The 26781-nt window shown below is 43.2% G+C and overlaps 1 protein-coding gene across 4 annotated transcripts, besides 3 other annotated features; it reads left to right on the top strand.

Annotated features, from left to right (window-relative positions):
• Positions 1989 to 2078: a silencer, noted in NCBI's record as "silent region_20090". NCBI's record gives its function as "represses an Ori minimal core promoter by ATAC-STARR-seq in GM12878 lymphoblastoid cells {active_cell/tissue: GM12878}" and the evidence as "EXISTENCE:reporter gene assay evidence [ECO:0000049][PMID:35858748]".
• On the top strand, positions 2077 to 17817 carry PRXL2C (peroxiredoxin like 2C). Of its 4 annotated transcripts, none has more exons than XM_005251784.5 (6): positions 2077 to 2142; positions 2621 to 2689; positions 5682 to 5735; positions 5899 to 6004; positions 11370 to 11501; positions 15508 to 17817. In XM_005251784.5, the coding sequence occupies exons 1-6, from the start codon at positions 2113 to 2115 to the stop codon at positions 15633 to 15635; spliced, it is 519 nt and encodes a 172-aa protein (XP_005251841.1). In that variant the 5' UTR covers positions 2077 to 2112; the 3' UTR covers positions 15636 to 17817. The 4 variants fall into 4 exon arrangements, with proteins under 4 accessions (XP_005251841.1, NP_714542.1, XP_047278861.1 ...); NM_153698.2 differs by having other exon boundaries at positions 2077 to 2304; XM_047422905.1 differs by lacking the exon at positions 11370 to 11501.
• Positions 2119 to 2328: a silencer, noted in NCBI's record as "silent region_20089". NCBI's record gives its function as "represses an Ori minimal core promoter by ATAC-STARR-seq in GM12878 lymphoblastoid cells {active_cell/tissue: GM12878}" and the evidence as "EXISTENCE:reporter gene assay evidence [ECO:0000049][PMID:35858748]".
• Positions 2469 to 2538: a silencer, noted in NCBI's record as "silent region_20088". NCBI's record gives its function as "represses an Ori minimal core promoter by ATAC-STARR-seq in GM12878 lymphoblastoid cells {active_cell/tissue: GM12878}" and the evidence as "EXISTENCE:reporter gene assay evidence [ECO:0000049][PMID:35858748]".
• Positions 17818 to 26781: the final 8964 nt, after the last annotated feature.

Genomic DNA, 26781 nt, shown 5'->3' with positions numbered 1-26781 from the left:
TTGGGCTGCTAGTGGAGTTAGGAGTGCGTTCAAGTTCCAGTTTTCACATCAAGTGAGGTGCTAGGTTATTGCTAGAACAGCCAATAGTTGCAGTGTTGCCAAGGAAGTGTGTATCCTGGTAAAGTGCCAGAGGCAGAGCCCCACCCGCTACCCTCAGGAGGCTATTTGAAATCCCCTTCCTCCTGCAATGTCCTGCCAACACTGTCTATTGAAAATGCTTAATATATTGCCCATTGCAAAGGTTAGATGCTTAGAGGAAGTCTGTCCATTGTCACAGAGTATATAGTGAAGGGTTGATTTGGAGCTGAGAAGCAAGTTGATAACTGTCACAGGCACTTCATCTCTCAGTGTCTCATTCAGTCATGTACTGATGCTCCCTAGACAATACCTTCTAATTTCTGCATTTCTGCATGGCTACTATTCCTCCTACAAAACTATTTTTTGATGATGTCTGAGTTCATCACTCTGCAAAAACTAAGTCATGTGGCTCTTTGTATTTCAAAATGAAATTGTCTAACCTGTAATTTATTTCACATGAAATATGACACTGAAAGCAGTAATGTCAAAGAAAATTTTTCATTCATTGATACCAGCAATTAATCAGAGCTGCCAAAATACCACCATTCTTATCTGTATATCAATTTCTGCTTACCAAAACACTGCTTACAATAAATTTGGTGACATCTGGCAAACTGCCTGTTGTGAGTGCTATTCATCAGCCTGCACTTTGGTCATGCATTTATTTCCAAAAACTCATAAAGCTCCTGGCCAGGCCCAGTGGCTCATGCCTGTAACCCCAGGACTTTGGGAGACCACGGCAAGAGGATTGCTTGAGCCCAGGAGTTCAAAACCAGCCTGGGCAACATAGGGAGACCCTTGTGTCTACAAAAACAAATCTAAAAAAAAATTTGCCAGGCATGGTGGTGCATGCCTGTGATCACAGCTACTTGGGAGGCTGAGGCAGGAGGACTGCTTGAGCTCAGGAGGTGGAGGCTGCAGTGAGCCATGATCGTGCCAATGCTCCAGCCTGGGCGACAGAGCGACACCCTGTCTCAGAAAGAAACTATCTTGACTTAGAAACAGATCTATGCTTAAAATTTTGTAAACACGCTGCAGAGCTTCTCAAACAGAGCACTTAATGTGTGCTCAATAAAGTATAAAATCTTCACACAGGTGAAAGCCAGAGGATGCAGCATCCCCCTTTCCTGCACTTTGTGGCAGAGTCACATCAGTCACATAGACCTGCCTAGCACTCCGCCCCAGAAATATTCTTCAGCTCAACAAAGGCCATAGATAAAGGATGTACTTTCTGAACCCCAAATCCATACACAAGAGTGAGTAAACTTATGAAGACAAAGAGCCTGAATGTTATCTGGTCCTGCTCTGGAAATCTTGGACACACAGTTAGCACCCATGAGAAACCCCAGAGAAAGATGAACCTCTAAATCCAGGGCCAGTTTGGTCTCACAAAGGCTGAGATCCCCAGATTTCCCTATGCCTGCCTACCCACCCCAGGAGAAACTGAATTGGAAGTGTGGGATTTCTACAAAACAGCTGCTAAGTCATCTAACTTCATCATCCTCATCCCACCCAGCTCACCTTTTATTTCTTTATTTTTATTATTTATTTTTTTAAAAAACGGAGATGGCGTTGCCCTCTGTTACCTACCCAGGCTGGTCTCGAACTCCTGGCCTCAAGTGATCTTCCCGCCTCGGCCTCCCAAGTCGCTAGGATTACAGGCCCGGCCTGTGTGTTTACAAAACGTGGGCCTGGCCCTAGCCCACCTTTTACACATACACCCATTAGTTCTCGAATAGGTGAGAACATCCGCTCAGGTGGCCATGGAGGGCGCGGGCGGCTTTCTTCCTCAATAATGCTTGCTCGCCGTGGACGGACCTTACTTTCTCTCTCTGTCCCCTACCCTGAGAGCTGAGTCAGAACCGCCCGTGGGGTTCACTCCGACAGCTCCCAGGCCCGCGCCGCGCCGCGGAAACCGTGACTTGCCAGGCCCCACCTCTGCACGCCCCGCCCCGCCCCCCGCGCCCAACCTCTGCGCGCCCCGCCCCGGTCCGCGCTGACAGAGCGGACCCAGGCCCTCGGCCGCCCCGCGTCATGGCCGCGCCGGCCCCGGTCACGCGGCAGGTTAGCGGCGCCGCCGCCCTGGTCCCGGCCCCGAGCGGCCCCGACAGCGGGCAGCCCCTGGCGGCCGCCGTGGCCGAGCTGCCGGTGCTGGACGCCCGCGGGCAGCGGGTACCGTTCGGCGCGCTGTTCCGGGAGCGCCGCGCCGTGGTGGTGTTCGTGCGGGTGAGCGGGCGGCGGGGCTGGAAGGGAAGCGCGGCCCAGGGTCCCGGGCAGGCTGCCGGGATGCGAGCCGCGCCTCCTGCTTCTTAGGACGGAAACGGGAAGGCAGCCTGCCCAGTCGCGGCCGCTTCCCAACTAGGGCGGGGCAGGGAGAGGGCGAGGGCGAGGCCCGCTTCCCACGCGCCGGGCGCCCGAGCCGCCGGTCCCGGCCCCGCGGGCGTCGCCTTTGCTCGCGTCACGCACGGCGAAGTACAGGGATCCTTCGGGGCCCGAGGGTGCTGCTTTACTAACTTGCCCTTTCTGCCGTTTTGGCTTTCAGCATTTCCTGTGTTACATCTGCAAGGAATACGTAGAGGATCTGGCCAAAATCCCCAGGAGTTTCTTACAAGTGAGTTTCCCAGCGTGGGCGGCCCAGTGCCCGCTTCTGCAGACCTTGCGAGCGGGGCGGGGGAGGACGCGGCTCCAGCGCGGAACTTGCAGCCTGGATTGCCCCTCCCCGCAGCTCTCTCCACCCTCGCCCCTCCAAAAGGAGTGAGACGTCAGAGATCTATTTCTGCCCTAACTCATTGGGTGCTGCCTGGTGGTAAACGTACTAACAATTGTGGTGTTGCCTGGTAACCTAGTGCCTGTTCTCAAATGTTGACTGATAATGCCCTAAAACAAATGCTGGAAATGGTTATTTTCTTCCCTTTATTTTTTGTTACACTCCAAATAGCTGCTCATTATGGGAAAATACTAATATATCGTAAAGGTGCAAATGTTTATGTTAATAGGCTGCAAGTTCCATGTCCCTAGGACAAACCACATAGTTGTTTTTCTTGAGGCACAGATAGGTTTGTGCCCAAGTGAGCTTTTTGAGGAAAGGCATTGAGCAGCCTTTATAAAACAGATGTTCTTTCAGCAGACCTTGTCAATCAGGATGTGAAAAAATAACATTGATTAAATAACTGTGCGGCCGGGCACGGTGGCTCACGCCTGTAATCCCAGCACTTTGGGAGGCCGAGGAGGGCGGATCACGAGGTCAGGAGATCGAGACCATCCTGGTTAACACGGTGAAACCCTGACTCTACTAAAAATACCAAAAATTACCCGGGCTTGGTGGCGGGCGCCTGTAGGCCCAGCTACTCGGGAGGCTGAGGCAGGAGAATGGCGTGAACCCGGGAGGCGGAGGTTGCAGTGAGCCGAAATTGCACCACTGCACTCCAGCCTGGGCGACAGAGTAAGACTCCGTCTAAAAAAGAAAAAAAAAAAACTGTGCTACAGAGTTTTTAAAAAAGAATGTCTTTGGGGAGAATATAGAGAATTATTTACTATATCATTTTGAAAACAATGTTTTGACTGTTCCTCTGCGTATCCTTTTATTCTCTTTTTAAAAATTGACATATATAATTGTATGTGTTTATGGGATACAGTGTAATATTTTCATAGGCATTTACGTTGTGGAATGATTAAATCGAGATAATACATCCATCATGTCAGATAGTGATTTTAGTTTTTTGTGATGACAGCGTGTAAAAACTAGTCTTTTAGCAATTTTGAAGTATACATTGTTAACTATAGTCACCATGGTGTGCAGCAGATCTCTAAAAGTTATTCCTCTTGTTTAACTGAAACTTTGTACCCTTTGATCACCTCCCTTTTCCTTATCCCTGAGTAACCAGTCTCTGGTAACCATCATTACACTCTACTTTTTTCGTTTCCATAGGTAAATGAGATCATGCGGTGTTTTTCTTCCTGTGCCTGGCTTATTTCACTTACACGATGTCCTCCAGGTGCATCTAGTGTTGTCGCAAATAACAGAAAAATGTCTTTCTTTTTTATGACCAAATGTGATACCGTATTTTCTTTTCTTCTTTTTTTTTTTTTGAGATGGAGTCTCACTCTATCGCCCAGGCTGGAGTGCAGTGGCGCGATCTCAGCTCACTGCAAGCTCCGCCTCCCGGGTTCACGCCATTCTCCTGCCTCAGCCTCCTGAGTAGCTGGGACTAACAGGCGCCCGCCACCACGCCCGGCTAATTTTTTGTATTTTTAGTAGAGACGGGTTTCACCGTGTTAGCCAGTATGGTCTCCATCTCCTGACCTCGTGATCTGCCCGCCTTGGCCTCCCAAAGTGCTGGGATTACAGGCGTGAGCCACCGCGCCCGGCCGATACCGCATTTTCTTTATATTTATCCATTGTTGAACACTGAGGTTGCTTCTATATCTTGGTGTTGTGAATCATGCTGTAATAAAACATGGGAGTGCAGATATCTCTTCAACATACTGATTTCATTTCCTTTGAATAAATGCCCAGTAGTGGGATTGCTGGATCATATTATATTTCTATTTTTAATTTTAATAACTTCCAGACTGTTTTCCGTAATGGCTGTACTAATTTACATTCCTAACAACAGTGTACAAAAGTTCCTTTTTCTCCACATCCTCACCAACACTTATCTTGCATCTTACTGATAGCCATTTAACAAGTGTGAGGTTATATCATTGTAATTTTAATTTGTATTTCACTGATGAGTAGTGATTTTGAGCATCTTTTCATATATCTCTTGGCTATTTCTTTTTTTTTTTTTTTTTTGAGGCGGAGTCTTATTCTGCCCCCCAGGCTGGAGAGCAGTGGCACAATCTCGGCTGACTACAACCTTCGCCTCCTAGGTTCAAGTGATTCTCCTGCCTCAGCCTCCAGAGTAGCTGGGATTACAGGCACATGCCACCACACCCAGCTAATTTTTGTATTTTTAGTGGAGATGGGGTTTCACCATGTTGGTCAGGCTGGTCTTGATCTCCTGACCTCAGGTGATCCACCTGACTTGGCAAAAGTGCTGGGATTACAGGCGTAAGCCACCATGCTCAGCCCTTTGTCCATTTTTTAATCAGGCTATGTTGTTTTCTTGCAAAGTTGTTTGAATTTCTTTTACACTTTGGATATTTGCCCCTTATCAGATGTATAGTTTGCAGATATTTTCTCTCAATCTGTGAGTTGTCTCTTCTCTGTTGATTGTTTCCTTGGCTGTGCAGAAGCTTTTTAGTTTGATATAGTCCCATTTGTCTATTTTTGCTTTTGTTGCCTGTATTTTTGAGGTCATATTCTACAAATCATTGTTTACACCCATGTCATGTAGCAGTTTTGTAGTTTTCTTCTAGTAGTTTTATAGTTTTAGGTCTTATGTGTAAGTCTGGAAATTCCTACTTAGCAAAAGAAGCATCTGAATTAATATTTTACTATACATATCTTTGCATTAACTCACACAATTTTGCTGTGTATTCCATTCCTCTAGAAGCCTATAGGTGGCATTAGAATGAAACATAAGAGTTGGGTTAAGGGATGTTGTATAAAACATGCATAATTTCTAATGATATATACATGTCCTTTTTTTTCTCCTAAGGAAGCAAATGTCACCCTTATAGTGATTGGACAGTCATCCTACCATCATATTGAGGTAAATATCTAGTACATTGGGAGACTAATGAATAAAATCTGTTTCAGACATAAAAATTACATTATTTAAACCACTAAATGTAGGCTAAGTTGGCTGAAGTTAGAGTATCATTACTTTTCTCTCATTTGTTCTTGTAAAAATTCCAACCATTCTCTCTTTTCAGCCTTTTTGCAAGCTGACTGGATATTCTCATGAAATCTATGTCGATCCTGAGAGAGAAATTTATAAAAGATTGGGAATGAAAAGAGGTGAAGAAATTGCTTCCTCAGGTAAGACATAACATGTCTCAAATAGAAAACACTGGTGGTGTATGTTCATATTTGTGTATATATGCATAGGGAAACATGGTCAATTCATAAATCAGGCTTTTTTGTTTTTTTTGAGATGGAGTCTCACTCTGTTGCTGGGGCAGGAGTGCAGTGGTGTGATCTCGGCTCACTGCAACCTCCACCTCCCGGGTTCGAATGATTCTCCTGCTTCAGCCTCCTAAGTAGCTAGGATTACAGGTGCTTGCCACTACGCCCAGCTAATTTTTTATATTTTTAGTAGAGACAGGGTTTCCCCATGTTTGCCAGGGTGGTCTCGAACTCCTGACCTGTCTCGGCCTCCCAAAGTGCTGGGATTATAGGCATGAGCCACTGCACCCAGCCTCAGGCTGCTTTTTATTATTCTAATAAGTGGTCCAGATACACCAGGCTCCAGAAGATTCATTTTCTGGGTGTAATGACATGGAAGGCTGTTAGCAAAGCACTATTCAATGGAAATAAGTTGCAGAAGTGTTTTCAATGTGGTTCCATTTTTGTGAAAACAAAAAGGATTTTCATAAAGATCGTGTGTGCACGCGTGCGCACATGATGAAATAGGTTTTAAAAGATATGGTAGTGTTTACCTCAAGGAGGGGAGTGAGAAAATTGGCTTTTGTATTTTTTACAAGTATATTTTACTTTTGTAATTAAACGGAAAGTAGTATTAAGTTCACATAATTTTATACCTCAGTACCATGTCTTTAATATCCCATCTCCTTTAATTGAGGAAATCCCACTTATCGTTTGAAATCACCCAACTGAAAGGGGCTCTGAATCACTCTTCAAGCAGAAGTCATTGCTTCCCTTTTGCTTTCACAGCACCCTGCACTTTATTATATACTCTATTATTGCACTTAAGGGGACCAGAGAGTATAGTTAGTTGAAGAGTTTCATGTTTATTCATCTTTACATTATCTGTGTTCTCTGCCCTTGCCACAGTTCCTTGTAATTAATAGAGCTTAGAAAACTTGAGTTGTACTGCTTGTGTGTGTTTGTGAAATGCCAGATAAGAGAACTCAATTCAAACAAAAATCAATAATTTTGAATAAATATTATCGACCTCTTGTTTGATACCCACTGTGTTGGATGCTCCCAGGAGGACAGTGATAAAATACATAGTCCCCACCATGCAGACTCATCATCTACTCTGGGAGACAGGCACAAACAGCTAATTACAATACCATCTAAGGGCCAGTGATGGAGGGAGGCATTCCTGACTAGAAATACCTTTGTCAGCAATTTAAGTGGGGTAGGATCTGGGAGGGCTTCTCAGAGGAGATGAAGTCTCAGCTCACTCTGAAAGGAGTTAGCTGGGTGAAATGAGGGTGGGGAAGGGTGCTCTAGACAGAAAGTAGCATGTGCAAAAGCACAAAGGCATGAGAAAACATGACTCCTTCAGAAAAATACAGGTCCCTTCCTCTGGCCAGAGTGTAAGACCCAGTTAGGGGAATTGGTGTGAGCCAAGGGATAAGTTACAGCCAGTTCATGTTGAGCCTGGGGTAATGTGCCAAGGAGTTTGGATTTATTATGAAGCAGCTGGGGAATTATACAAGTGTTTGAAGCAGAGAAGTGAGACAGTCATATAACCCATGTGGAGCAGGGATTGGAGCTGGCCAAACCAGAGCCAGTGATATTTGTGACAGGGTTGTAGGGCAGACATAAGCTAGAAAGAAATGACAAGGCTTGAAGAGGGGATAGAGAGGAGGGGATGGGTCTGGGAGCTGTTTGTGAGGCAGAGTTGCTGATCCCTTTATTGATGGGTTTTTTTTTGTTTTTTGTTTTTTGTTTTGAAACAGAGTTTCACTCTTGTTGTCTAGGCTAGAGTGTGATGGTGTGATCTCGGCTCACTGCAACCTCCACCTCCTGGGTTCAAGTGATTCTCCTGCCTCAGCCTCCGGGGTAGCTGGGATTACAGGCATGCACCACCATGCCCTGCTAATTTTGTATTTTTAGTAGAGATAGGGTTTCTCCATGTTGGTCAGGCTGGTCTTGAACTCCCGACCTCAGGTGATCCACCCACCTCGGCCTCCCAAAGTGCTGGGGTTACAGGCATGAGCCACCGCACCCGGCTCCTTTATAGATGTTTTTAAAGAAAAAGACCTAAACTTGATCAGAACTAATGATGAGCTGGCATAAACATAGAGTCTGCTTGTTTCTCTCTCTTTAGTATAGGAAATCATAGCAGTACAGATTGTGAACCTTACTTTTTGGTACACAGTTTTCATGTGCTGTAACAGAGTCTCAACATGTGTAAGGTCTGTTTAATTATTTAGCACTTTAGGGCTGGGCGCGGTGGCTCACGCCTGTAATCCCAGCACTTTGGGAGGCCAAGGCGGGTGGATCACCTGAAGTCAGGAGTTCATGACCAGCCTGACCAACATGGAGAAACCCTGTCTCTACTAAAAATATGAAATTAGCCCGGTGTGGTGGTGCACATCTGTAATCCCAGCTACTCGGGAGACTGAGGCAGGAGAATTGCTTGACCCCAGAAGGCAGAGGTTGTGGTGAGCCAAGATTGTGCCATTGCACTCTAGCCTGGGCAACAAGAGCGAAACTCTGTCTCAAAAAAAAAAATTTAGCACTTTATATATAAACTGTGAGTTTCACTTTAGTAACACCTCACTATTCATTGTCACAATAAAGATATGGAATTGCAAACTAAATAGATGAATACTAAGTTGAATATATGCTTGTAATTATAAGAGAGGGTGTATTCAAATCTTCACTACTTCAACCTGTGTTGAAGGACTGCATTGCCAAACAAAATATTAGGTTCTCATAAAATAATTTTTTTGAGGTTTCTCCCTAAAAAAAACATAAAGCATAAATCTCAAAATCAGTCTCAGAATAGTCTTACTTGAAAACTAAGGCACTAAAAATATATTATATAATTATAATTTAAAATTAATGGTGCCTATTTTAATAAAGATGAAGAATAAGAAAATGAAGCCATTACATACAAGGGAGTACTGGGTTTGTAGAAGACTGAAAAACAGGAATTTGACACAAAAGAAGTAAATTCAAACTGGCAAAACTAGATTGTGCTTGACAACAAAGATTACTTAGTTCTAGGCTATGGAATCTCAAGTTGAATTTCTAAAATTTCTGAAATATTAATTGACCCCTTCTTTGGACATAAGAAGAGAGTTTGGGCTGGGTGTCGTGGCTCACACCTGCATTCCTAGCACTTTGGGAGGCCAAGGTGGGAGGACTTCTTGAGTGTAGGAGTTCGAGACCAGCCTGGGCAACATGGCCAGACCCTGTCTCTACAAAAAAATACAAAAATTAGCTGGGCATGGTGCATGCCTGTACTCCCTGCTATGCGGGAGGCTGAGGTGGGAGAATCGATTGGAGCCTGGGAGGTTGAGGCTGCAATGAGCAGTGATCGTGCCACTGCACTCCCGCCTGGGTGACGGATTGACTCCCTGTCTCAAAATTTTCTTTTGCATTTTAAAAAATAAGGAGAGAGTTTGGATTTCTGAGCATTTATTTCACATGTAGAATCCTATAAGATAGTAAAATTCAAGGCCAGGCATGGTGGCTCACACTTGTAATCCCAGCACTTTGGGAGGCGGAGGTGGGAGGATCACTTGAGGCCAGGAATTTGAGACCGGCCTGGGCAACAAAGTGAGACCCCATCTCAACAACAAAAAAAAATTTTTAATTAGCCAGGATTGGTGGCATGAACCAGTGGTCGCAGCTACTTAGGAAGCTGACGGGGGAGGATCGCTTGAGCCCAGGAGTTTGAGGCTGCAGTGAGCTATGATTGTGCCACTGCACTCCAGCCTGAGCAACAGAGCATGACCCTGTCTCTTAAAAAACAAAGTAAAACTTAATCTTTTACTCAAGTCTCTATGCTAGTGAGCCTGTATTTGTTTCTTGGTAAGATAAATGCTCATTATAATGTAAACATGAAAGAAATCAAAGAGTTGAAGAGATGAGGAGAAATAATAGGTGTTTGGAAATATTCGGAAATTAGGCAGGCCAAAGGCTGCATAGTCATTAAAATAAAAAGTTAAAAGTAAGACATACATGGCAAGGATAGGAGAAAAATTAATTACAAGAAGAATAAAGAGACTGAGTCTCTTTGCTCCAATGAAGTGGAAATTAAGTATTAGCCACTGTGATAACAGAAATAGAAAACTGACAGCCAAGGAGAAGTGAAGAGGTAGCTGCAGTGGCTGTTGTCACAGCTAAGCCCCCATGTCTCAGTAGCATGACATGGTAGGAGGTTATTTCTTTTTATCTTAAATTTCAAGAACGGGACCGGCTGCGGTGGCTTATGCTTGTAATCCCAGCACTTTGGGAGGCCAAGGCGGGCAGATCACCTGAGGTCAGGAGTTTGAGACCAGCCTGACCAACGTGGAGAAACCCCATCTGTACTAAAAATAGAAAACTAGCCGGGCGTGGTGGCACATGCCTGTAATCCCAGCCACTTGGGAGGCTGAGGTAGGAGAATTGCTTGAATCCAGATGGCAGAGGTTGCAGTGAGCCAAGATTGCGCCATTGCACTCCATCCTGGGCAACGAGAGTGAAACTCCATCTCAAAAAAAAAATTTTTTTTCAAGAACGGTTTTTCTATTTGGATGCCTTTCCTCTTGAGCAGCAGTTCCGGGATCCAGGCACCCTCCATCTTGTGCTTTGCCACCTTCAACCCAAGCCTTCCAAGAATGTAGAAGGAATATGAGAATCACTTGTGGGAGGAGCTTGGCCTGGAAGCAGCACAGATCATTTCATTCATTGTTTATAACATAGTCACATGCCTTGCCTAACTGCAACTAAGACTGGAAAATATACTTCAGCTGTGGGCCCAGAAAGAGGAAACAGGTTTTGACCAACACGTAGCAGTCTGTGTCACAATGTCTCTTGAAAAGGACTGTAGCTGCCTATTAATAAGTGAGACTAAACAGAGTATAAATGGGGAATTAAAATGGAAAGCACTGCTAATTTGAGAAGTCGATAGTTGACATTTTTCTGTGGCAGAAAATGATGTGGGTCCGTCATCACGTTTCCTTTAAAGCAGTAGTTCTTAACTGGGACATTTACTCCTCTCTCCCTTGGGAGACATTTGGCATTGTCTGAAGACATTTTTGGTTTTTACAACTTGGTAAACGGTGCCACTGGTATTTAGTGGGTATAGAAGGCAAGGATGTTGCAAAACACCGTATATCGCACAGGACAAAGAATGATCTGAGCCAAAATGTTGATGGTAAAAGATTGAGAAACCATTCTTTAAAGGAAGAAAGAGAATGTTTTCTAGAAATACATTATCTTCTTAATATCAAATTGAATATAAAATGACATCTAAAGACAATTTTCGACATTTCAGGACAGAGCCCCCACATAAAATCAAATCTACTCTCAGGAAGCCTTCAGAGCCTGTGGCGGGCAGTGACTGGCCCTCTCTTTGATTTTCAAGGAGACCCAGCTCAGCAAGGTGGAACCCTCATTTTAGGTCCAGGTAAGCATCAAAGCCCAGGTTCAGCAGTAGACGTCTTGTGCTTTTTACAAGTTCAGAGGCCGCCATTTTCTTTTCTTTTCCTTTTTTTTTTTTTTCGAGAGGGAGTCTCGCTCTGTCGCCAAGGCTGGAGTGCAGTGGCGCAATCTCGGCTCACTGCAAGCTCTGCCTCCCGGGTTCACGCCATTCTCCTGCCTCAGCCTCCCGAGTAGCTGGGACTACAGGTGCCCGCCACGACGCCCGGCTAATTTTTTAAATTTTTAGTAGAGACGGGGTTTCACCGTGTTAGCCAGGATGGTCTCGGTCTCCTGACCTCGTGATCCACCCACCTCGGCCTCCCAAAGTGTTGGGATTACAGGCATGAGCCACCGCGCCCCACCCAGAGGCCACCATTTTCTTCATAAAGCAGACACCCTGTACAAATGGACATCTTGGCATTACAGCCAGGATGCTGTGCTTTTGTAGGGGGGCATCTTTTGTTTTCAAAGGCTTCTGTATATTTTGATGTTTATGTATTTGATGAGCGTGCCCATCATCCCATGCCTAGATGATTTCCCACAGTCACCTGTGGGCTGGCGATCTGTATATGGCTGTCACACACTCCGCTATTTAGGAATGTTCAGTGGAGATGAACATTTCTGAATAGGGGAAAATCGTCACGTGCCTTTTTTTTCAAGAAAAGAATCCAGCCGGGCGCGGTGGTTTACGCCTGTAATCCCAGCACTTTGGGAGGCCAAGGCGGGCGGATCACGAGGTCAGGAGATCAAGACCATCCTGGCTAACACGGTGAAACCCCGTCTCTACTAAAAATACAAAAAAAAATTAGCCGGACGTGGTGGCGGGTGCCTGTAGTCCCAGCTACTCGGGAGGCTGAGGCAGGAGACTGGCGTGAACCTGGGAGGCGGAGCTTGCAGTGCGCCGAGATCGCACCACTGAACTCCAGCCCTCCAGCCTGGGTGAGAGAGTGAGACTCTGCCTCAAAAAAAAAAAAAAAAAAAAAAAAAAAAAAAAAAAGAATCCATGTAGTTATTTATACCTAACAAAACTAGGAGACTTACTCAGTGTCAGCAAGTTAGTCAGTGCTAGGGACAGCTCATCCCATAAGATTGGGATTGAGGCCGGGCATGGTGGCTCACACCTATAATCCCAGCATTTTGGGAGGCTGAGACTGGTGGATCACTTGAGGCCAGGAGTTCCAGACCAGCCCTTGGTGAAACCCCATCTCTACTAAAAGTACAAAAAATTAGCCGGGCGTGGTGGTGCATGCTTGTAATCCCACCTACTTGGGAGGCTAAGGCAGGAGAATCACTTGAACCTGGGAGGCGGAGGTTGCAGTGAGCCCAGATCGTGCCACTGCACTCCAGCCTGGGTGACAAGAAGGAAACTCCCTCTCAAAAAATAAAAAAGAATGGGATTGAGGTCCGACTATAAGCCACACACTGTTAACTTTATTGATGGGTGTGGACCACCTGAGATTGCTTTGGCTCGTCTCTGCTAAGTGTTTGAACAGATGTATTTGAACAGATGTAGGGATTGTGGACATCTAAGTGTATTGTAACTGATTAGATCTCTACTGTGTTCCAGCATTGCAACAAAGGACAAACACCCTTATCAGACAGGGCCCAAAAGCCTAAATCACTATGTTGTAAGACCATCTTTTTGTTTTTTCTTCCTCTTTAAAACTGTCTGCTTAATGAGCATAGCTTATAAGAGTTATATGAGTAATATTTACTTTGATAAATACCTTTTTTTTTTTTTTTTTTTGAGACAGAGCCTTGCTCTGTCACCAGGCTGGAGTGCAGTGGTGTAATCTCGGCTCACTACAACCTCCGCCTCCCGGGATCAAGCGATTTTCCTGCCTCAGTCTCCCTAGTAGCTGGGACTACAGGCGCCTGCCACCACACCCAGCTAATTTTTGTATTTTTAGTAGAGGCAAGGTTTCACCAGGTTGGCCAGAATGGTCTCAATTACTTGACTTCGTGATCTGCCCACCTCTGCCTCCCAAAGTGCTGGGATTACAGGTGTGAGCCACCACACCCAGCCAATACCATATTTTTTAGAAGGAGGGTTTTGACTGAGTAATATGATTTTTGGGCTTTTTGCAGCTGGAACATTGTAGCCAAAATCTCCCTTTGCCTCCCTCTCATGAATTTATAACAGATTCGTTATAAAAAGAAGCCCTGATGAATGAGAATGAATCCTATGCATTAGCCCAGAATGACATTAGCCATATTTCTGAACAACTTATTTCCATCCTCATACCCAAAAGGGGATGTTTTTGAGTCCCTTATCTCCATGTCTCTGAATCATTTGTCCACATCTTCTGTTGTGTAAGAATAAAGAGTACATGGGCTGGGCGCAGTGGCTCACACCTGTAATCCCAACACTTTGGGAGCCCAAGGTGAGCAGATCACAAGGTCGGGAGATCGAGACAATCCTGACTAACACGGTGAAACCCCATCTCTACTAAAAATATAAAAAATTAGCCGGGTATGGTGGCATGCACCTGTAGTTCCAGCTACTAGGGAGGCTGAGGCAGGATAATCGCTTGAACCTGGGAAGTGGAGGTTGGCAGTGAGCCAAAATCACACCACTGCACTACAGCCTGGGCGAGAGACCAAGACACTGCCCCCAAAAATAAATAAGTAAAGAAGAAAGAGCACATGGAGAGCATCATTTGTGTGCCAACTTGGGACCATTCAGTCATCCCTCAGCATCCATGGCGGATTGGTTCCTGGACCTGCAGTGGATCCCAGAATCTGAGATGCTCAAGTGTCTCACATAAAATGCTGTAGTATTTGGATCTAACCTATGCACGTCCTCCCCTGCACTTTAAATCATCTCTAGTTTACTTATAATACCAAATGCAATGTAAATAGTTGTTGTACTGTACTATTTAGGGAATAATGACCAGGAAAAAAAAATGTCTGTACATATTCAGCAGATATGCAGCTATCCTTTTTTTCTGAATATTTTCAATCCGTGGTTTGTTGAATGAGGATGCGGAACTCATGGATGCAGAAGACCAGCTGTGCTTAGAAAACATGCCTCATGGCCGGGTGCAGTGGCTTACACCTGTAATCCCAGCACTTTGGGAGGCCGAGGTGGGCGGATCACAAGATCAGGAGATCAAGACCATCCTGGCCATCTGGTGAAACCCCGTCTCTACTCAAAATACAAAAATTAGCTGGGCGTGGTGGTGCAAGCCTGTAGTCCCAGCTACTCGGGAGGCTGAGGCAAGAGAATCGCTTGAACCCAGAAGGCGGAGGTTGCAGTGAGCCGAGATCATGCCACTGCACTCCAGCCTGGCGACAAAGCGAGCCTCCGTCTCAAAAAAAAAAAAAAAAAATGAAAACGTGCCTCATACACTTAATCTAATGGTTTAAGTTAAAATTCTGGTCTTGAGTTCAAGAATCAAACAGAAACTAGATTGTAAATTTATGATTATAAATTATAAAATCTGTATTTGAACAGATGTAAGGATTGTGAACATCTAAGTGTATTATAACTGATTGTCTTTTAAGGCCTTATTTTAGAGCCTCTTTTGGGCTATGGTTATAATACAGATAGCCTGTTAAATCAGTATTTCGGAGTGGATTTTTTGAAGTGAGTGATTTATTTCCTTATTATATTTATTCTATTATTAGATTTAAGAAACAGATGTGATTTTCCAGCTTGATATCTATGTGAGTTCCGTATTCTGCCCGTCTGACAGGACATTTTATTTAATTATATTTAATAAAACCTAACAGAAGGTTATAATTTAAAAATCTTTCCCCTTGGATCTCATAAAACATCAAGTATGGCTCTTATTTAACCATAATCCTTGTCATACTTTATTACCATGATTTAAAATTATTATGGCATTATATAGAGAATATAATGCACTCCAGGTAATTAATTTTTCCCTTTGGACTAATTAAAGGTTGAAAAGCTTCCTTGATTTTAGTAAGCAGTAAATCTGATGAATAATACTATGCCTCAGCCTTTTATTCTTATTCTCTTCTAGGTAACAACATCCATTTTATACACCGCGATAGGAATAGGTTGGATCACAAACCTATCAACTCTGTTTTACAGCTTGTAGGAGTTCAGCATGTGAACTTTACAAACAGACCTTCAGTTATCCATGTGTGACTTAAAATGCACTCAGTCACTTTCAACTGGACCTTCTGGAATGTGACCTTCAATGCCTGGGTGTAATATCCTCGTGCAGTGTCTAACCTGCTGTCCCTTCCCAGCCTTTGAGGAGTTAGGGAAGCATAAAGGGGGCTTGAACCTGTTGAATTGCATGCTGGGAAGCATCAGTTGTCAAAATATGTTATATACTTCCATTTTATAACTTTTAACATTTTATACAAAAAAAATGAATATACAAAATATAACTTTAAAAGCTATAAAATCATAAATACTCTAAATTATTTTACATTATGGTATATTCAGTCAATGAAAGAGTTTTTTGGCAATATAAATTCTGACAGTATATAAGGGGACAGGAGAACAACACAAGACCATTATATTCAGTGAAGAAGGCAAAATATCAAATCTGTCAACAATGTAACTGCATTTTTATATGTATATATTTGTATTTTTGTATGCTTTGGAAAAAGACAGGAAATAAACACCAAAATGTTGCCAGTAGGTATCTCTGTGTTAAGATTAGTGTTATTATTTTCTTTTCTGTACTTTTCTGTATTTCCCAACTGTTATATAATGAGCATGATTAATATTGTAGGGCCAGGAAAAGGTCTTTAAACATTATAGGACAATTTTATGCCACATAACAACCTTCACAAAAGAGCAAAATTATATAAGCTGTAGTCCACTTTTCCATCGTAATTGCTTTACTCAGAGGAAGTGTGGCAATCCGAACATTTCACATATAGCCAGTGTCCACAGCACCTTCTCAAACTACATACTTGCTATCCGTTTCACTAGGATTTTGGGGGGTTGGGGGAGCTATGGAGAAAAAAATTGTTTTAGATATTTAAGATATGTATTTAAAAATATGGTCAGTGTGCTTTTTGAAAGGGAACTATAAGAATTTTTTTTTTTTTTTTTTTTGAGATGGAGTCTCACTCTGTTGCCCAGGCTGGAGTGCAGTGGCATGATCTCGGCTCACTGCAAGTTCCGCCTCCCGGGTTCACGCCATTCTCCTGCCTCAGCCTCCCGAGTAGCTGGGACTACAGGCACCCACCACCACGCCCGGCTAATTTTTTGTATTTTTATTAGAGACGGGGTTTCACTGTGTTATAACAGCCAGGATGGTCTTGACCTCCTGACCTCATGATCCGCCCACCTCGGCCTCCCAATGTGTTGGGATTACAGGTATGAGCCACCTTGCCTGGCTTTTTTTTTTTTTTTTTTTTTTTTTTTTTTGAGATGGAGTCTTGCTCTGTCGCCCAGGCTGGAGTGCAATGGCTCAATCTCAGCTCACTGCAACTTCCGCCTCCTTGGTTCAAGCAATTCTGCCTCAGCCTCCCAAGTAGCTGGGATTACAGGCACCCGCCACCATACCTGGCTACTTTTAGTAGAGACGGGGTTCCACCATGTTGGCCAGGCTGGTCTCGAACTCCATACCTCAGGTGATCCGTCTGCCTCGGCCTCCCAAAGTGCTAGAATTGCAGGCGTTAGCCACCATTCCCGGCCAAGAATTGTTAAAATTTTTTAAAACTTGGTAACTTAAATGTACACTATGGTTTAGTTATGCATTCCTAGAGAACTGCTATTTCTCACCCTCAAACTGCTCTTATTTGGGAGACTTGTTATCTTTCATTTTTCTAGAATTTTTTTTTTTTTTTTGAGACGGAGTTTCACTCTTGTTGCACAGGATGGAGTGCAATGGCACGATCTCGGCTCACTGCAACCTCCACCTCCCGGGTTCAAGTGATTCTCCTGCCTCAGCCTCCTGAGTAGCTGAGATTACAGGCATGCGCCACCATGCCTGGCTAAGTTTCTATTTTTTAGTAAAGATGGAGTTTCTCCATGTCGGTCAGGCTGGTCTCGAACTCCCGACCTCAGGTGATCTGCCTGCCTCAGCCTCCCAAAGTGCTAGGATTATAGGCATGAGCCACCGCGCCCGGCCTATTTTTCTAGAATCTTAATATGTTTAGTTGGGAGGTGTCCCAGAAATCCTGATGAAAAGTATAGCAAAATCAGAATTTTGGTAATGATTAGCAAGTATAATACTGCTTTGAACTCAGTACTTTTATATGAAGCATATAAAGTTACAAAAAAAACTAATGTATTCAAATATTTGAATATATCTTCATGTTTGTATAATGTTTTTATTCAATAAAAATGAAATTTCTCATTTAAACTATTTTGTGCTTTTTTTATATACTAAAGGTGACCTTTGCTGATTTTAGACTTCATACTGCTGAATCACATGCTTACACAAAAATTATATACAGTTGACCCTTGAACAACATAGGTTCTACACGGGTCCAGTTATATGTAGATTTTTTTTTCAATTGAAGTTATACCAAGTGTGGGCCGGGTACGGTGGCTCACGCCTGTAATCCCAGCACTTTGGGAGGCCGAGGCTGGCGGATCACGAGGTCAGGAGACGGAGACCATCCTGGCTAACGCGGTGAAACCCCCGTCTCTACTGAAAATACAAAAAATTAGCGGGACGTGGTGGAGGGCGCCTGTAATCCCAGCTGCTCCGGAGGCTGAGGCAGGAGAATGGCGTGAACCCGTGAACCCGGGAGGCGGAGCTTGCAGGGAGCCGAGATGGTGCCACTGCACTCCAGCCTGGGAGACAGTTATACCAAGTGTGCCTGGCTCCCCTGTCACCTCTTCCGCCTCTGCCTCACTTGAGACAGCAAAACCAACCCCTCCTCCTCCTCCTCCTGCTCCTTAGCCTACTCCAGGTGAAGATGAGAATGAAGACCTTTTTTTTTTTCCTTTCTCAGCACATCGTGTCCACTACCAAGAAGGAATTATAAGGCATATGAAAAGACAAAAAACAATTTGAAAAGACAGAACGAGCACTAGAACCAGATTCAGATATTGCAAGAATGTTGGAATTAATCAGACCAATTTTTTTTTAAACTATGATTAATGTGCTCAAGACTTTAAAGGAGAAACACAACATCCAAGAACAAATGAGTAATGTAAGCAGAGAGATGGAAAGTCTAAGAATCAAAAGAAATGCTAGAAGTTAACAACATTGGAATAGAAATGAAGAATGCCTTTGATGGGATTATTAGTAGACTGGATGTGGCTGAGGAAATAATCTCTGAGCTTGAGGATATGACACTAGAAACTGAAAAGCAAAGGCAAAAAATACAAAACAAAATCCAAGAACTGAGAGACAACTACAAAAGACATAACATGAATCATGGGAAATCATAAGAAAGAAACTAACAGAAGAAATATTAGAAGCAATAAAGACTGAAAATTTCCCCAAGTTAATGTCAAACATCAGACTGTAGATTCAAGAAATTCAGAAAACAGCAAGCATAGTAAATGCCAAAAAAAAAGACACCTAGGCATATCGTAGTCAAACTTCAGAAAATCAAAGATAAAAAATCTTGGCTGGGCGCAGTGGCTCACACCTGTAATCCCAGCACTTTGGGAGGCCAAGGCAGGCAGATCACTTGAGGTCAGGAGTTCGAGCCCAGCCTGGCCAACATGGTAAAACCACATTTCTACTAAAAATACAAAAATTAGCTGGGTGTGGTGGCACATGCCTGTAATTCCAGCACTTTGGGAGGCTGAGGCGAACAGATCACCTGAGGTCAGGGGTGATCAGCTTGGCCAGCTTGGCCAACATGGTGAAACCCCATCTCTATCAAAAATACAAAACTTAGTTGGGCACGGTGGTGTGTTCCTGTAATCCCCACTACTTGAGGGTGAGACACGAGAATCACTTGAACCCGGAGGCAGAGGTTGCAAGGAGCCAAGATTGCACCACTGCACTCCAGCCTGAGTGACAGCATGAGACTCTGTATCAAAAAAAAAAAAAAGAAAAGAAAATTTGAAAGAAGGCAGAGGGAAATAAACCACCTTACCTATAGAAGAGCAAAAATAAGAATTACATCCAACTTCCCCTCAGAAACCATGCAAGCAAGAAGAGAGTGGAGTGAAATATTTAAACTGTTAAGAGGAAAGTCACCAATCTAGAATTCAGTACTCTGCAAAATTATCCTTCAATAACTTTCTAACAGGAGGAAAAAAATTATCCTGTGAAGGATAACTAAAGACATTCTTCAGACAAAAAATGAGGGACATTGTTGCCAGTAGACCTGTCATGCAAGAAATTTAAAAGAAGTTTCTCAGAAAGAAGGAAAGTGATACAGATTAGAAACTCAGATCTACATTAAAAAAAGGAAGGGCATTGGAAAATAAGTGAGTGAAGGTAAAATACTTTTCTTTTTCTTTTTTTTTTTTGAGACAGAGTTTTCCTCTTGTCACCCAGGCTGGAGTGCAATGGCGCGATCTTGGCTCACTGCAACCTCCTTCTCCCAGATTCAGGCGATTCCCCTGCCTCAACCTCCTGAGTAGCTGGTATTACAGGTGACTGCCACCAAAACTGGCTAATTTTTGTATTTTTAGTAGAGACAGGGTTTCACCATGTTTGCCAGGCTGGTCTCGAACTCCTGACCTCAGGTGATCTGCCCACCTCTGCCTCCCAAAATGCTGGGATTACAGGGGTAAGCTACCACGCCTGGCCTTATTTTTCTTATTCTTAGTTGATCTTACAGATAACAGTTCAAAATAATAATACCAACAATGTATGTGTGTTTATGTGTGCTTATGTATGTATATATATTTATATATAGATATGCTTACATATGCTTATATATAAGTGAATGACACTTACATATAAATGAATAACAGCAAAGATACAAGAGACAAGATGAGGGAATTAGAAATATTTTGTTATTGCCGGGCACGGTGGCTCATGGTGAAACCCTATTTCTACTACAAATACAAAAAATTAGCTGGGCATGGTGGCGGGTGCCTGTAACCCTAGCTACTCAGGAGGCTGAGGCCAGAGAATCGCTTGAACCCGGGAGGCGGAGGTTGCAGTGAGCCGAGATCGTGCCATTGCACTCCAGCCTAGCCAATAAGAGCGAAACTCTGTCTCAAAAAAAAAAAGTATATGAATGGAGAAAGATTTAATGTGCTAACACAAATAAAAAGAAAGTGGGAATAGTTATAGTGCTCTCAGACAAAGCTAAGTTCAGAGCAAGGAAAGTTATCAGGGATGAAGGGAGCTATTACATAAGGATGAAGGGGTCAGGAGTCAGTTCCTACTGAAGACATAGTAATTCTCGATGTGTATGTTCCTGACAACAAAGTAAAACCTGATAGAACTGCAAAGAGAAATAGATGAATCCACTGTTATAGGTGGAGATTTCAACACCCCTCTATCAGAAATGGATAGGTCCAGCAGGCAGAAAATCAGTAAGCACATAGTTGAACTCAACAGCACCATCACTAAACTGGATATAATTGACATTTCCAGATTACTTCATCCAATAGCAGAATAGCACACATTCTTCTCAAGCTCACATGCAACATGCACCAAGATAGACTGCATTCTGTACCCTAAAACACACCTTAACAAATGTAAAATAATAGAACTCATAGCATGCCTGCTCCCAGACCACAACGGAATTATACTCAAAAGCAATAACTGGAAAAATCCCCAAATACTTGGAGATTAAAAACATACTTCTAAATAACACATGAATCAAAGAAAAAAAAATCTCAGTGGGGCATGGCAGCTCACGCCTGTAATCCCAGCACTTTGGAAGCCTGAGGCAGGCAGATCACTTGAGGCCAGGAGTTTGAGACCAGCCTGGCCAACAGGCAAAACCCTGTCTCTACTAAGAATACAAAAATTAGCTGGGTTTGGTGGCACACAGCTGTAATCCCAGCTGCTTGGGAGGCTGAGGCAAGATAATGGCTTGAACCAGGGAGGCAGGGGTTGCAGTAAGCTGAGATCACGCCATTGCACTCCAGCCTGGGTGACAGAGCAAAACTGTCACAAGGAAAAAAAAAGAAAATGAAGACCTTTATGATGCTCTGCTTCCACTTAATGAATAGAAAATATATTTTCTCTTCCTTGTGATTTTCATAATAGCATTTTCTTTTCTCTAGCTTACTTTATTGTAAGAATATAAGTATGTAATAAATATCACATATAAAATATGTTATTGACAGTTTATGTTATTGGTAAGGCTTCTGGTCAAAAATAGACTATTACTAGTTAAGTTTTTGGGAGGCCCAAAGCTATATGCAGATTTTTGACTGTGTAAGGGATTGGCACCCCTACCCCCAACATTGTTTAAGGGTCAATTGTATTTATAAATGTGCACCACATTTTTCTAAGATAAATACATGTTCTTTATGTGGCTTCAGGGAGGTACAGGTACATAAGTGTAGTGCAATGGCAAATTGCCTACCCAAACACATTTTTTAAATATAAAATTACCTATAACATGTACTGTTAACTTTATAAACATACTTCCATATCCAGTCATATACTGGACTTGAAATTCTGAAGAACCTCTCTCACAAATACATGGAGACATTGGATAAAAATAAATAATATCATCAAACATTTTATGGTGGTAATGATTTGTTAGGTACTATTCCAAGTGCTTTACATACATTAACTCTATGGAACTGATATTGTTATCATCACCATCACCATTTTGCAGAGAAGAAGCAACAACTTTTTTCAAGCTGAGCTTACAACAAAGTGAAGAAATGCCACTAGGGCCGAAAGCGAGCAGAAGCTAGGCTGAAGAGCATGCTTGGAAGCCATGGACTGCACTGCAGAGCAGGAATTCATCCCAGGAATTAGAGAAGGTTATTCTTTGGCCAATTCAAAGGTCTGGGACAGTAGAGAATTAAAACTAAGGCTCTAGAGTAAAGTAGGACCTAAGACCTGTGCCTGAGACTGGAAACTTTTGAAGGGCTAAAACCTTGTAAGAATAAGGTCAAATCCATCCACATCCAAGGAATCTAGTGAGGAAATTCATTGTATGGCTTGTGTGATGAACTGCTATGGAAACAAGAATTTCAATAAAATGAAAATGCATGGTTTCATTTTTAAAATCAAATATTTTGTTGTTTTTCAAGAAAACTGATGATACACTAGCAACCTGCATAAAATGTTTGTTCACATTACCATTTACAATGGGGGGCAAAGAGGTATCACTGACTACATGAAAACTGGAAGACACATTTTCCGAAGAAGTAACATCATTTACTTCAAAGTTAATGGCTATTTTAAAAAGAGTGTTCCAGAAGGTAATTTAAGATATGAAGTTGAAGAATGTACATAGACACATCATTCTGTGAAGAATGATTTTTCATTTAAATCAAGGAGGTTTTTTTTTGTTTTGTTTTTTGTTTGCTTTTCTCACTCTGTTGCCCAGGCTGGAGTGCAGTGGTGCAATCTCGGCTCACTGCAACCTCACCTCCTGGGTTCAAGCAATTCTCATGCTTCAGCCGCCCAAGTAGCTGGGATTACAGGTGTGTGCCACCACACCCGGCTAATTTTTGTATTTTTAGTATAGATGGGATTCTACCATGTTGGCCAGGCTGGTCTCAAACTCCTGACCTTAAAGGGATCTGCTCACCTCGGCCTCCCAAAGTGCTGGGATCACAGGTGTGAGCCACTGTGCCAAGCCAAAGAGGTTTTTCTAATTAATTCCAATCTTTTTCAAGTCAAGTTTTCTTATGGACATACTAAAAATGAAGTGTAGTAGCTGTTCCTATACTGGTTCTGTTAGAAACTTCTGAAAAAAGTTACAGGCTGCCAGTTTTATGTCAGTATTACCAAATGCTTTAAATAGAGAATTTGATTACATTCATTTCTTTTTAAAAAAGGAGCTAATAGTTACCTTTTCTCATCCAGTTTACAAAGTCAAAGCAAAATGTTTGGAAGCGTATTCTCTCAAAGGTGAAACATCTGACATTATTGTGAATGCTACTCTAAATTCAACTTAAAAATTCACATGGTTGGGCATGGTGGTACATACCTATAATCCCAGCTACTCGGGAAGCTGAGGCAGGAAGACTGCCTGAAGCCTGAAGCCTGGAAGTGAGGCTACAGTGAGCTGTGATCGTATCACTGCACTCCAGCCTGGGGCAACAAAGGGAGACGCGCGTGCGCGTGTGTGTGTGTGTGTGTGTGTGTGTGTGTATGTTTGGGGTTTCATTTTTTGAGATGGAGTCTTGCTCTGTTGCCCAGGCTGGAGCACAGTGGCATGATCTTGGCTCACTGCAACCTCCACCTCCCGGGTTCAAGCAACTCTCCTGCCTCAGCCTCCACAGTAGGTGGGATTACAGGCGCCAGCCACCACATCCTGCTAATTTTTGTAATTTTTAGTAGAGATGGGGTTTCACCATGTTGGTCAGGCTGGTCTTGAACTCCTGACCTCAGGTGATCTGCCTGCCTCGGGCTCCCAAAGTGCTGAGATTACAGGTGTGAACCACCATGCCCAGCATATATATATATGCATATATATAATGCATTTATATATGCATTATATATATATAATGCACATAACTACAAAAAAGATTAATACCAAAAATATATCGGAATGTCTACAAGTCAATTTTTTAAAACAAGACAACATAATAGGATAAATGGGCAATACAGACAAAACATTGCAAAGTTAGAGGGTACAATGCACAACCCACCCTCATTTCTGACACCAACTACAGATGGTTTCCAAAACCACACTCAGGTTTGATAATTTGCTAGAAGGACTCACAGAACATGCTAAGAGCTGTTATACTCACAGTTACAGTTTACTGTAGGGAAAGGATTCAAATCGACAGGCTTTTAAAATCTTTGAAAGGTTAAAATAAGGCTGGGTGCAAAGGCTCACGCCTGTAGTCCCAGCACTTTGGGAGGCAAAGGCAGAATTGCTTGAGTCCAGGAGTTCAAGACCAGCCTGGACTATGTAGCAAGATCCTGTTTCTATAAAAAAAAAAAAAAAATTGGCCAGGTGTTGTGGTGCACCTGTAGTCCCAGCTACTCGGGAGGCTGAGGCAGGAGGACTCCACTCCAGCCTGGGTGACAGAGTGAGACCCTGTCTTTTAAAAGCAAACAAGCAAAAAAAGAACATGCAGCTTTACTAAGCTCTCCTTTCAGTTCGCACCCAGAGTGCTACAGTAGCGTCTTTATTTATTTATTTATTTATTATTTTTTATTTATTTATTTATTTTTGAGACGGAGTCTTGCTCTGTTGCCCAGGCTGGAGTGCAGTGGTGCAATCTCGGCTCACTGCAAGCTCCGCCTCCCGGGTTCACGCCATTCTCCTGCCTCAGCCTCCCGAGTAGCTGGGATTACAGGCGCCTGCCACCACGCTCGGCTAATTTTTTGTATTTTTAGTAGAGACAGGTTTCACCGTGTTAGCCAGGATGGTCTCGACCTCCTGACCTCGTGATCTGCCTGCCTTGGCCTCCCAAAGTGCTGGGATTACAGGTGTGAGCCACCGCACCTGGCCAGTAGCGTTTCTTGTTCGAGATTTGTGCTGTAGTATTGCCCTACAGGTGATGTGGTCTGATAAGGAAAAGATGGTTTCAAGTGCTTATATGTGTTGATACCCTGGGAGATTTAAAGGACAGATAAGGCAGAATTTCTGCCTTTAATCATTCAGGAGCTATTTGGGGAGGGCAGGAAGAACGTCAGGGTAGGTAACAAAAGAGGGCAGGGATGATAAACTGTCCTTTGCACAGTGCAGTAAATCTCACAGCAAATTTGAAGGTCTTGGAGGGATCATGGATGGAAGTGTTCAAAGAAGGCTTGCATATAATTTTTTAAAGCAGCTCACATAGACCATAAGTGTAATTAGCCTTATTCATCATGAGGAGGTATTTGATCAAAGCTCTTATGGAAGTAAAACTTGTTTCTAGAAAATGATTTTAAATATTATGCCAATCTTCTTACAATGCCATTTTTAAAAATAGGTAAGTAAAATATTTTTAAGGTTTCTTTAGAAATCATTACAGAACACTGTTATTTAACTTTACTCTAAGAGCAGCCTGTAATCACTAACATTTTCTGGATTTTGATGCCTAAGGATTTAAAATGCCAAATGTGGCTGAGTGGGGTGACTCATGCCTGTAGTCCTAACAATTTGGGAGGTCCAGGCAGGAGGACCTCTTGAGCCCAGGAGTTCAAAACTAGCCTGGGCAACATGGAAAAACCCCATCCCAGCACTTTGGGAGGCCAAGGCATGAGGATCACTTGATGTCAGGAGTTCAAGACTAGCCTGGCCAACATGGTGAAACCTTGTCTCTATGAAACTACAAAAATTAGCCAGGCGTGGTGGTGGGCACCTGTAATCCCAGCTACTTGGGAAGCTAAGGCAGGAGAATTACTTGAACCCAGGAGGCGGAGGTTACGATGAGCCAAGACTGTGCCACTGCACTCCAGCCTGGGTGACAGAGTGAGATTCCATCTCAATACAAAAACAAACAAACAAACAAAAAAACAAATTAGCCGGGCGTGGTGGCATGCACACCTGTGGTCCCAGCTACTCAGGAGGTGGAGGTGGGAGGATCACTTGAGCTCTGGAAGTCAAGGCCGCAGTGAACTGGAATGGCACCACTGCACTCCAGCCTGGGTGACAGAGTGAGACCACTCCATATATGATCCCCCTCCAAAAAAAGTAAGTCAAATGTGAACATATTTACTGACTTTATGTAAATAAGGAATAGCTTCATATTTCTAAGCAATGTGTATCCATGTCTCATAAGCATAACATTAATCCTACTTTTTGCTGAATCCAGTGGGCTTTCCACTTTATTTTCCTAAATTGAAAGCTCAGATTTTGATATTTGTTGCTCTTGTCTATATCGGCAAGTACAAAGACTTCATGTGAATTAATAATTTGCCACACAGTAAGAAAATGAAACAAAAGCAAATGCTTTAAAAATGTATTGGAAAAAATGATGAATGCTGTATAATTTGGAAAGTAAAATATAGCACCGGAGACATTCTGGTAGAGAGACCTGTGACCGGCCAGGCGTGGTGGCTCACACCTGTAATCCCAGCACTTTGGGAGGCCTGGGTGGGCAGATCACAAGGTCAGGAGATCGAGACCATCCTGGCTAACACAGTGAAACCCCTTCTCTACTAAAAATACAAAAAATTAGCCGGGTGTGGTGGCAAGTGCCTGTAGTCTCAGCTACTCGGGAGGCTGAGGCGGGAGAATGGCGTGAACCCAGAGGCGGAGCTTGCAGTGAGCGGAGAACGCACCACTGCACCCCAGCCTGGGCAACAGAGTGAGACTCCATCTCA

Source organism: Homo sapiens, chromosome 9 (genome assembly GCF_000001405.40).
Source record: "Homo sapiens chromosome 9, GRCh38.p14 Primary Assembly".
Lineage (NCBI taxonomy): Eukaryota > Metazoa > Chordata > Mammalia > Primates > Hominidae > Homo > Homo sapiens.
This window is presented reverse-complemented; position numbering and strand designations above follow the sequence as displayed.

Bases quoted from the DNA above. Each gene is read 5' to 3' on its own strand.
- PRXL2C (NM_153698.2), top strand. From the start codon at position 2,113: ATGGCCGCGCCGGCCCCGGTCACGCGGCAGGTTAGCGGCGCCGCCGCC. The intron at 5,736-5,898 runs GTAAATATCTAG...CTCTCTTTTCAG, and splicing joins CATCCTACCATCATATTGAG to CCTTTTTGCAAGCTGACTGG. The intron at 6,005-11,369 runs GTAAGACATAAC...TCGACATTTCAG, and splicing joins TGAAGAAATTGCTTCCTCAG to GACAGAGCCCCCACATAAAA.